Source organism: Homo sapiens, chromosome 5, assembly GCF_000001405.40.
Source record: "Homo sapiens chromosome 5, GRCh38.p14 Primary Assembly".
NCBI classification, from domain to species: Eukaryota; Metazoa; Chordata; class Mammalia; order Primates; family Hominidae; genus Homo; species Homo sapiens.
This window is the reverse complement of record NC_000005.10, coordinates 180,584,075-180,594,483: the sequence shown is the minus strand read 5'-3', so window position 1 is coordinate 180,594,483 and position 10,409 is coordinate 180,584,075. Positions and strand designations below refer to the sequence as shown.

General features: G+C 51.4%; 1 protein-coding gene and 1 long non-coding RNA gene across 2 annotated transcripts, besides 3 other annotated features; one reads left to right on the top strand and one right to left on the bottom strand.

Annotated features, from left to right (window-relative positions):
- Positions 1-215: 215 nt before the first annotated feature.
- LOC124901154 (uncharacterized) lies at positions 216-1,314 on the bottom strand. Its single transcript, XR_007059088.1, has 2 exons — positions 1,275-1,314; positions 216-591 (listed from the first exon to the last, which is right to left on the bottom strand). It is a non-coding gene; the product is annotated as an uncharacterized LOC124901154 (long non-coding RNA).
- Positions 2,784-3,453: an enhancer, noted in NCBI's record as "H3K27ac-H3K4me1 hESC enhancer chr5:180018031-180018700 (GRCh37/hg19 assembly coordinates)". NCBI's record gives its function as "activates a minimal SCP1, AML or CMV promoter by ChIP-STARR-seq in naive H9 embryonic stem cells {active_cell/tissue: H9 hESC(naive)}" and the evidence as "EXISTENCE:reporter gene assay evidence [ECO:0000049][PMID:30033119]".
- On the top strand, positions 2,985-4,379 carry SCGB3A1 (secretoglobin family 3A member 1). The gene is made up of 3 exons (NM_052863.3): positions 2,985-3,073; positions 3,646-3,884; positions 4,230-4,379. Exons 1-3 carry the CDS (start codon positions 3,022-3,024, stop codon positions 4,251-4,253), a joined length of 315 nt encoding a protein of 104 aa, NP_443095.2. The 5' UTR covers positions 2,985-3,021; the 3' UTR covers positions 4,254-4,379.
- Positions 3,454-4,123: an enhancer, noted in NCBI's record as "H3K4me1 hESC enhancer chr5:180017361-180018030 (GRCh37/hg19 assembly coordinates)". NCBI's record gives its function as "activates a minimal SCP1, AML or CMV promoter by ChIP-STARR-seq in naive H9 embryonic stem cells {active_cell/tissue: H9 hESC(naive)}" and the evidence as "EXISTENCE:reporter gene assay evidence [ECO:0000049][PMID:30033119]".
- Positions 4,124-4,793: an enhancer, noted in NCBI's record as "H3K4me1 hESC enhancer chr5:180016691-180017360 (GRCh37/hg19 assembly coordinates)". NCBI's record gives its function as "activates a minimal SCP1, AML or CMV promoter by ChIP-STARR-seq in primed H9 embryonic stem cells {active_cell/tissue: H9 hESC(primed)}" and the evidence as "EXISTENCE:reporter gene assay evidence [ECO:0000049][PMID:30033119]".

Genomic DNA, 10,409 nt, shown 5'->3' with positions numbered 1-10,409 from the left:
GCTGTGCAGGTCTCGGCACAGGCCAGACCCTCGGCCTGCCTGATCCCCAACTACCGCAGAGGCTTCGCCAGCCGTGGCCCCCAGAGCCAGTGTGGGGTGAGGGGCTGGGCCAGCCTGAGGTGAGTCCTGGCTTGCCTTGACCATGGCAGCTCGGGAGAGGAGAGCACATCCTTTGGCCCTGTCAGTGGTGAAACGGAGACACCGTGACACACTTCTCCGGGGAGCCAGGGGATGTATTTTTGGAATCCGAAATCTTGGGGCACATGGGAATGAGGGCCTGTCACCACCCTGCAGGCTTGTGGGAAATGGGAACAGATCCACCCAAGGCACTATGAGCCGGAAGGTGGAGGGAGGTTATTTTGAAGACAAAGGATCCCTGGAGGCAGGTGCAAGGGGCCGCTGGAGTGGCCAGGACCCCAAGCGCTGCTGGGGACCCACAGATGACGGCCTCCCCCTCCTCCTGGCCTCGGCAGCATCGGTCTTTCCCGCGGTCAGTGTTCTCTGGTCCCCAGGCAGCATGGGGAAAGGTGGCCCCAAAGTCAGCTCCCAAGATGCGCCCACTGGGATTGCTTGGGCCAAGGCTGCCAGATCCTGCTCAGGAGAAGAACAAGCATCATGAGGTTGTGGACACACTGGGATCCTTGTGCATTGTTGCTGGGAAGGCAGCGTGGTGCCGCTGCTATGGGAGAGATGGCAGATCCTCACAAATGACACAGGCAAGTTCCACAGGCTCCAGCCATTCTACCTCTGAGCAGCCACCCAAAACAGCCAACAGCAGGGTCCCAAAGAGGCATTTGCACAGCCGTGTTCACGGCCGCATTACTCACAGCAGTGAAAACATGCAAGCGCCCACATGTCCACCCACGGGTGAAGTGAATGGGTGAAGAAAACGTGGCACAGCCATGCAATGGAGCAGTATCCTACCCTAAGAAGGAAGGAAACTCTGAAGGTCATGAATGAACCTGGAGGATATCATGCTAAGTGAAATACGCCAGACACAAAAGACAAACACTGCCCGATTCCACTCATATGAGGTGCCGGGAGTGGCCAGATTCAGAGACAGAAAGTGGAATGGTGGTGCCAAGGGCTTGGGGAGGGGAGTGGGGAGTTGTTTAATAGGCTCAGAGTTTCAGTTTTATAAGAGGAAAAGAGTTCTGGAAATGGATTGTGGTGATGTTTGCACAACATTAGAATATACTTAATGCTAATGGAGTGTGCCCTTAAGATGGTGAAGCTGGGCTGTGCGGGGTGGCTCACACGTGTCATCACAGCACCTTGGGAGTCTGAGGCGGGAGGATTGCTTCAGGCCAGGATTTTGAGACCAGCTTGGTCAATGTAGCGAGACCCCATCTCTAGAAAAAATAAAAATAAATCAAGCCAGGCGTGGTGGCTCACACCTGTAATCCCAGCACTTTGGGAGGCTGAGGCAAGAGTATCACTTGAGGCTAAGAGTTCAAGACCAGTCTGGGCAACACAGTGAGACTTTGTCTCTACAAAAAATAAACAAAATTAGCTGGACATAGTGGTGCACACCTATAGCCCCACCTGCTTGGGAGGCTGAGGTGGGAGAATTGCTTGAGCCTGGGAGGTGGAGGCTGCAGTGAACCAAGATCACCTCACTACACTCCAGCCTGGGCGACAGAGTGAGACTGTCTCAAAAAACAAACAAACAAAAAACAAAATCAAAATCCGCTGAGTGTGGTGGCTCACACCTCTAGTCCCAGCTACTTGGGAGTCTGAGGTGGGAGGATTGCTTGAGCTCAGGAGTTCGAGACCAGCCTGGGCAACACGGCAAGACAGTGTCTTTACCACCACCAAAAAAGTAATTAACTTCAAACTGTTTTTAAAAAAGAAAACGTATTTCCCATTAAAATTACTTCCATGATGACCAACAAAACACAACCAAACTCCAGATTTATAATGCAAAAATCCCCCAAACAAAATAGTCAAGGAAAAGTGTAAGTGAACAGAAACAGTGTGAATGCGTGTGCCTGGCCACAACAGTTGGCAAAGGCACAAGTGTCTGCAGGTGCGGAGGAGGCCGCAGTAGCTCGGGGTGGCTGAGGGCTAAGACGTGCTGTCAGCCATAGGGAAGGAATTCCAGGACACTGCCTGAAGAGTCAGGTCCTCCCACCCGGGAGCCTGTTTCCCACGCGTGCCAGCTACACTTTACAAAAGAAAAGAGAGACTTTGCACCAACCTAGCTGAGAGCAGCCACGCAGCAAAACGTGAGTCACTCAGTGCTCAATGCCTGGGGTCAAAAAATAGAGGAAAGAAGAAGGACTAAAAGCAAATTAGTTTATGTATCATTTGCAAAAGTTTTCAAAATGTGCTTTGCTCTCCATCTGTCATACTTCTGCAGGTGACAGACGAGTGAGGACATTTAGAGAAACTCAGGAACAAACCAGGCCCATCCACTGGCGTCGAGGCTAGTTTCGAAGACAGAAAAACGCCCCACTTCTGTTTGCACTGTGGCTGCCTGTGGCCCGGCCGGGGAGGCGGCCGGGAGTGAGGCCTGATCGTCCCTGGCGCCTCCACCTCCCCAGGCGCAGAAGGCGCCCACGAGGACCCCCAGTGCCCGACGTTGCCACGGTCTGGGATCAGAGGCAGGGACCAGGGAGCCAGGAACTGCGCCGCCCCCGCCCCTGCCCTGGCGCGAGGGAAGCTCCCCTCACCCGGGCCCAGCCCTGCAGGGGGGCGCGTGGGGTCAGACCGCAAAGCGAAGGTGCGGGCCGGGGTGGGCCTCGCGGAGACAAAGGCCGGGCCTGCCTGCTCTCAGAGGGCCCCAGCGCCTGCCAAGAGGAAGTCCTCGAGGCCCGGGCAGGGAAGGGGGCACGGGCTTCCCAGGGCCCGCCGGCCGCAGCAGGAAGTTGGCCAGGGCACGGCCGTGAGCGGAGCGGGCAGGGCTTTCTCAGGAGCGCGGGCGAGGCCGGCGCTGGAGGGGCGAGGACCGGGTATAAGAAGCCTCGTGGCCTTGCCCGGGCAGCCGCAGGTTCCCCGCGCGCCCCGAGCCCCCGCGCCATGAAGCTCGCCGCCCTCCTGGGGCTCTGCGTGGCCCTGTCCTGCAGCTCCGGTGAGCGCCCCGGGCTCCTGGCGCGCACGGTGGGGCCTGAGGCCTCGGCGCCCGCTGCGCCCCCGCCGCTGCCTGCGCCGATCGTGGATCCCAGGTCCTTCCAGCCTCGCCCGGCGCCCAGAGGGCTCCGCCACCCCGGGGCCCCGCGCCTGCAGCCCGCGGCCTCCCCCTCTCAGGGCTGTCTCCAGCCTCGTGCCGGGATGGAGGCCGCCCCTGGCCTGGGGACACCCGTCTGCCCCCCGTCTGGAGACCGGCTCCTCATCCTGCAAGGCGCAGCGCGAGTGTCCCCTCCCTTGGGGGCCTGTCCCGGACCCTGCACAGAGTTCACCGGTCCTTCCGCCACCCTCAGGCCACTCCGGTGACCCTGCAGCGTCTCCTGGCGGGGCCGCCTCCCCAGACCCGCCTGTGTCCCGGGGGCTCGCACCTGGCAGGCCTCGGCGCAGGAGGGAGGGGCGGTCGGGGAGCCGGGCAGGGCGCGACGGTTCCTGGGCGCCTCCCGCGGGGGCGCGTCCTGGACCTGCCTTCTGGGGACCCCGGCGCGCAGGCGGTGACCCCTCCCTGTTCGCTTGCAGCTGCTGCTTTCTTAGTGGGCTCGGCCAAGCCTGTGGCCCAGCCTGTCGCTGCGCTGGAGTCGGCGGCGGAGGCCGGGGCCGGGACCCTGGCCAACCCCCTCGGCACCCTCAACCCGCTGAAGCTCCTGCTGAGCAGCCTGGGCATCCCCGTGAACCACCTCATAGAGGGCTCCCAGAAGTGTGTGGCTGAGCTGGGTCCCCAGGCCGTGGGGGCCGTGAAGGCCCTGAAGGCCCTGCTGGTAAAGTGGGCACCCCGGGTGCCCTTCCTGCGCGGGCATCCCTTCCCGGCCAGCCTCAAAACTGCACCAGAGGTGTCCCGGCCCTACGTCAGGGCTGTTTCCCGTCCTGCCCCTCCAAGCCCTGTCCCTGGGAGAAGCCCGGGTCTCCGGGTGGGAACTGGGTGGGGCGCATCCGAGCTGCAGGGGCGGGGAAGGCGGAGATGGCCCCGCGCGGGTGCGCGTCCCCCGGAGACGCCAGCGGAACCGCCCCGCTCCCGCTCCCCACAGAGCCGGCCGCTGCCGCGCCCCCGCCTGAGTTCTTGGTGGCAGGGCTGGGGGCACTCAAGCTCGGCTTCTGCTTTCCAGGGGGCCCTGACAGTGTTTGGCTGAGCCGAGACTGGAGCATCTACACCTGAGGACAAGACGCTGCCCACCCGCGAGGGCTGAAAACCCCGCCGCGGGGAGGACCGTCCATCCCCTTCCCCCGGCCCCTCTCAATAAACGTGGTTAAGAGCAGCTCGAGCCTGGTATTTTCTCATCCAAATGCTGATCCCTGTGGGGGACCGAGAGTGCCAAGTCCCAGATTTTGTGAGGGGTGCTGCGTGAGAGAGGGAGAGAGAGGCCGCGAGAGTCTGCAGGTGGCATAGAGCCAGCAGTGCAAGGTGACAGAGATGGGGCCAGTATCAGAGGTAAACCGGATTTGGAAACAAAACTGGCAGGTCTTTCTTCCTGTTGTGCTCTGTAACTGTTTATGAAGCATAAAAATTATCTACTCCTTGAAGACTGGCGAGAATGCAAACGCACCAAAGCCATTTGTTGCTAAAATTTGAAAGTTTTTATTTTTTCCCTCTATACTTGTAGATTTCTTCCTCGGAATGGGGGAGGAATGAGGGCTTCAGGAAATCCGCTGTTGGGCTTGTTTTCCCTGCAGTTTCTGCTGGTTTTGTCCAAATAACCTAGTGACTTTGATTCCTTCTACTCTAGCGGAGAGACCACCTTTTGTCAACTGATCTAGTGTTGGTGGGAAGGTGCCCAGGGAACCCAGACATCGGTGTCCCTTTCAGGGGAAGCCTCCCAGTTGACTTCCTTGCTGGGATGAATAACTCTGCCTCAGGTGGCTTGAGCAGGTCTTCCCCCCATCATGAATATCCACACGAGATTTTAAAAATTTTTTGATTGGGCACGGTGGCGCACACCTGTAACCCTAGCACTTTGAGAAGCCAAGGCAGGTGGATCACTTGAGTCCAGGAGTTTGAAACTGGCCTGGGCAACGTGAGGAAACTCCGTGTCTACAAAAAATACAAAAATTGGCCGGCGCGGTGGCTCATACCTGTAATCCCAGCACTTTGGGAGGCTGAGGCGGGTCACGATGTCAAGAGATCGAGACCATCCTGGCCAACATGGTGAAACCCCGTCTCTACTAAAAATACAAAAATTAGCTGGGCATGGTGGCACACGCCTGTAGTCCCAGCTAGTCGGGAGGCAGAGGCAGGAGAATCGCTTGAACTGGGGAGGCAGAGGTTGCAGTGAGCCAAGATCGTGTCAGTGCACTCCAGGCTGGTGACAGAGCGAGACTCCGTCTAAAAAAAAAAAAGTACCGAAGTTATCCGGGCATGGTGACGTGTGCCTGTAATCCCAGCTTCTCGGGAGGCTGAGGTTCACTTGAGCCAGACAGGTCAGGCTGCAGTGAGCCGTGACTGTACCACTGCACTCCAGCCTGGTCAGCAGAGAGATACCCCGTCTCAAAATACATAAATAGTACAATAAAATAAAAATTTTAGCCATTTTGATGAGTTCACAGTCAAACCACAACAGGGAAGAAGCCACCTGGATCCAGATTCCATGAAATCTGAGCAACACGTTGCCCCCAAGGTCATGAAGGGCTGTGAATCTTCATGGGGTGGGGAAGGCTTTGGTCTGGACAACAGGAACCAAGAGTGAGAATCACAAGGTCATGGGGACACCGACCTCAGCACGACCCCAGGCCCACCTCCCCCAGTATTACATATCCAGGCTTTCTGCAGGTTGTCTGCTAACAATTCCTTAACTAACTGGATTAAAACATCCAGGTAAATCATTATGAGAACATGGTAGGCTACGGGAGCTTGGTGGAACTGACGGTGGGTGGGCTGTGGTACTATGTGGTACTAGATGAAGGACCCCATCCCGAGATGGCCCTGCTACCCTCCACCCCTGGAATCTTTCCAGGAAAACAACGGGGGGAAAGCAAAGTGCTTAGTGAAAAAGGGAAACTGCGAACACCAGTTGAAGTTCCAAGACCAGCTGCAACGTCTAGCTTCCTTCCTCCTGTAGATTCCTGGAAGAGAGACCATCATAATCCTGGAGATACTGGTCCCAAACATACTGCTCTTCAGTGAGCAGGTATATGCAGACCTGCCCCCAAAGACCAAGGGAGCTAAGGGGTCAAAAAGAGTCTGACAAGTCCAGTATCTCACAAAGAAACATTTAATGGGGACTTGAAAACAGAAGCTATGTCTCGGATGGCCTTGAGGCGGTGCATCCCCACACCGTCAACTCCCAGACCCAGGGTTTGTATATCACAGGGAAAAGGTACACATGCTTCAGCAGGGACGTATAAGACAACTGAAGTCGACCCCTCAAAGGCAAGAATGCCATGCCCAAAGTGCTGGGACTACAGGCATGAGCCATGGCGCCCAGCCCAAGGATGAAATGTTATAAAATGGTTACTATTTTAAAAATATTTTATATTGTCACAAAAGACCAAACACAAATTCTTTAAAGCAGCCTCTAAAAATTGAAGTTAGGAAAAGAAAGAAACTTAACTGGGTTTCTAAGCGGGGGCCTAACCACCAAGGAACTATTCTAAGTAATGTAAAAATGTAGTAATTGAATTCTCCGCCCTGCGGTGGCTCCACCCCAAGGACAAGAGGAACTGTGAAAATAATTTTAAACTTCTCTTACTGGTGGTATTGCGATACTGAGGCCGTTCTGTGCATCTTCTGTGATAGATAACTCAGATGTATAATTAGGTTAATGTCATTGAAGTCAGGTTTCCGGCCAAGTTAAAAGAAGATGCTGATGATGTAAGAGTAAGACCTTAAGGCTCAAGATCACACTTGGAAGCATAATTGTAAATGCCTGATATTTTTAGACATGGAGTCTCACTCTGTCACCCAGGCTGGAGTGTAGTGATGCGATCACAGCTCACTGCGGCCTTGAACTCCTGGGCTCAGGCGATCCTCCCACCTCAGCCTCCCAAGTAGCTGCTACTATAGGTGTGAGCCACTGCACCCAGCTTTTTTTTTTTTTTTTTTTTTTTTTTTTTTTTAATTCATGGCTGGCACAGTGGCTAATCCCAGCACTTTGGGAGGTCAAGGCAGGAGGATCCCTTGAGTCCAGGAGTTCAAGATCACCCTGGACAACAAGGTAAGTCTTTTGTCTTTACAGAAAATTTTAAAAATTCGCTGGGTGTGGTGGCGCACGTCTGTAGTCCCAGCTACTTTGGAGGCTTAGGTGAGAGGGTCGCTTGAGCCCGGAAAGTCGAGGCTGCAGCGAGCTGTGATTGCGTCACCGCACTCTAGCCTGGGTGACAGAGTGAGACTCCTCTGGGTGACAAAGCAAGCCTCTGTCCCACCTCCCCCCGCAAAAAAACACCCCAGCATTAACAGGAGTTTGGAAGAAGTTGATTCCAGCCTAATGGATAACCAAGAGGTTCAAGGCTTCAGGTAGCAACTGCAGATGTGGGAGAAATAACAAGACCACTTGAATTAGAAGCAAAGCCTGACTGAAGATGTGACTGAATTACTGCAACCCCATGATAAAACTTGAACAGGTGAGGAGTTACTTCTTATGGATGAGCAAAGAAAGTGGTTTATTGAGATGGAATCTCCTCCTGGTGAAGAGGCTGTGAACCTCACTGAAGTGACCATATAGGATGTAGTTTTAGAAGAGTACATAAACTTAGTTGATAAAGCAGCAGCCGGTTTTGAGGGGATTAACTCCAATTTTGAAAGAAGTTCTACAGTGGGTAAAATTCTATCAAACAGCATTGCATGCAACATACAGAGAAATCTTTTGTGAAAGGAAGAGTCAATGCTGCAAACTTTATTGTCTTATTTTAAGAAATTGCCACAGCCACCCCAACTTTCTGCAACCACCACCCTGATCAGTCAGCAGCCATCAACACTGAGACAAGATCCTCTACCAGTAAAACGATTATGACTCACTGAAGGCTCAGATTTTTAGGCGATAAAGTATTTTAAAATTAAGGCATGTTCCTTAAGACATAATGCTATTGCATAATGAATAGACTATACTATCATGTAAACAACTTTTACATGCACTGAGAAACCAAAAAGTTAACGACTTGCTTACTGCAGTGGCCAGAAACAAAGCCCACAATATCTCCAAAATATGCCTGAATTCAGCTGTCCCAGCACTATTCATTGAAGATGCTACACTTTCCCCAATTGAGATATCTTGGCATGTTTGTCACAAATCAATTGACCAGAAATGTAAGGGTTTATTTCTTGGGCTTTAAATTCAATTCTATTGACCAATGTGCTATCCTTATGCTAGAACCACACTGTCTTGATTACTGTAGCTTTGTAACTAGTTTTAAAATCAGGATGCTTTAGTCCTCCAACTTTGACCCTCTTCAAGACTGTTTGGCTATTTTGGAGGTCCCTTGGATTTCCATATGACTTTAAATATTAGATTGTCAATTTCTGCAACAAACAAAAAGTCAGCTGGGATTCTGATAGAGACTGCATTGAATCTGTAGATCAATTTAGGGAGTATTGCCATCTTAATATTATCCTTCAATCCAAGAACATGAATTCCATGCTTTCTTGGGGGAAAGCCTTAGTCTGTCATCATTACGTATCATATTACCTGTAGGTTCTTTGTAAATGCCTCTTACCAGATTGAAGTTGTTCTCGTTTTTGTTTGTTTTTGGAGAGTAAGTTTTGTCAAATGATCCTACGCTTTTGTCCTTTGTTCTACTGATACAATACATTACATTAATTGGATAAATCCCACTTGGTCATGGTGCAAAATCCTTTTTTATATATTGCTGAATCCTATTTTGCTAGTATGTTTTTGAGGACTTTTGGATCTATATTTAAAAGTGATTGGTATGTAGTTTTCTTTGAGATATCTTTGTCTGGTTTTGATATCAGGGTAATACTGACCTCACAGAATGAGTTAAAAAGTGTTCCCTCTTCTACTTTTTGAAGTTTGTGAGGAATTGGTATCAGCTTAAATACTTGATAGGATTCACCAGTGAAGCCATCAGGGCCTATGCTTTTCATTTTGTAGTTTTTTTTCATTACTAATTCAATCCCTTTATTGTTGTACATCTATTCAGATTTTCTATTTCTTCTTGAGTCAGTTTTGGTAGTGTCTTTCTAGGAATCTATCCATGTCATCTACATTGTCTAATTCATGGGCATACAATTGTCCATAGCATTCCATAATAATCCTTTTTATTCTATAAAGGTTGGTAGTAATGTCTCCCTTTCATTCCTGATTTTAGTAATTCAAGTAGCTTTTTATGTTCAGTCTCTTTAAAGGCTCATCAACTTTGCTGATCTTTCCAAAGAATCAGTCTTTGATTCTCTACTGTTTTGTTTTGTTTGTTTGTTTTTTGGAGACAAAGTGTCCCTCTCTCGCCAGGATGGAGTGCAGTGGTGCGATCTCGGCTCACTGCAACCTCTGCCTCCCGGGTTCAAGCAATTCTCCTGCCTCAGCTTCCTGAGTAGTTGGGACTACAGGCGTGCACCACCACGACCAGTTAATTTTTCTATTTTTAGTAGAGACGGGGTTTCACCATGTTGCCCAGGCTGGTCTCCAGCTCCTGACCTCGTGATCTGCCCGCGTCGGCCTCCCAAAGTGCTGGGATTATAGGTGTGAGCTACCACGCCTGGCCCTCTCCTGTTTTTCTATTCTCTATTTCATGATTTTCTGCTCTAGTTCTAATTACTTCCTTCTTTCTGCTTGCTTTGGGTTTGGTTTACTGTTTTCCAGTGTCTTAAGTTGAAAAGATTTAAGATCTTTTTTTTATTTTTGAGATGGCGTGTTGCTCTGTCGCCCAGGCTGGAGTGCAGTGGTCTCAGCTCATTGCAAGTTCGGCCTCCTGGGTAGCTGGGACTCCTGCCTCAGCCTCCCAAGTAGCTGGGAATACAGACGCCCGCCACCACGCCCAGATGATTTTTTTTTTCGTATTTTTAGTAGAGACGAGGTTTCACCATGTTAGCCAGGATGGTCTCGATCTCCTGACCTCGTGACCCGCCTGCCTCAGCCTCCCAAAGTGCTGGGATTACAGGCGTGAACCACCGCGCCTGGCCCCAAAATCTTCTTTTAAAATGTGTTTATAAATTTAAGTATTGCTTTCACTGCTTCCCATGTTTTGGTATATTGTCTTTTCATTTATTTCAAAATATTTTCAAACTTCCCTGGTTTCACTTCATTGATTGGATAATATATTTGGTATGTTTTCAATCCTTTTGAGCTTATTATGGCTTGTTTTATAGCATCCCATATGATCTGCCCTAGAGAATATTC

What these genes read in the sequence shown, in the direction of transcription:
- SCGB3A1 (NM_052863.3), top strand. Translation starts at nt 3,022, where the DNA reads ATGAAGCTCGCCGCCCTCCTGGGGCTCTGCGTGGCCCTGTCCTGCAGC. An exon ending in GGCCCTGTCCTGCAGCTCCG is followed by an intron (nt 3,074 to 3,645) that starts GTGAGCGCCCCG and finishes GTTCGCTTGCAG; the next exon opens with CTGCTGCTTTCTTAGTGGGC. An exon ending in AGGCCCTGAAGGCCCTGCTG is followed by an intron (nt 3,885 to 4,229) that starts GTAAAGTGGGCA and finishes TCTGCTTTCCAG; the next exon opens with GGGGCCCTGACAGTGTTTGG.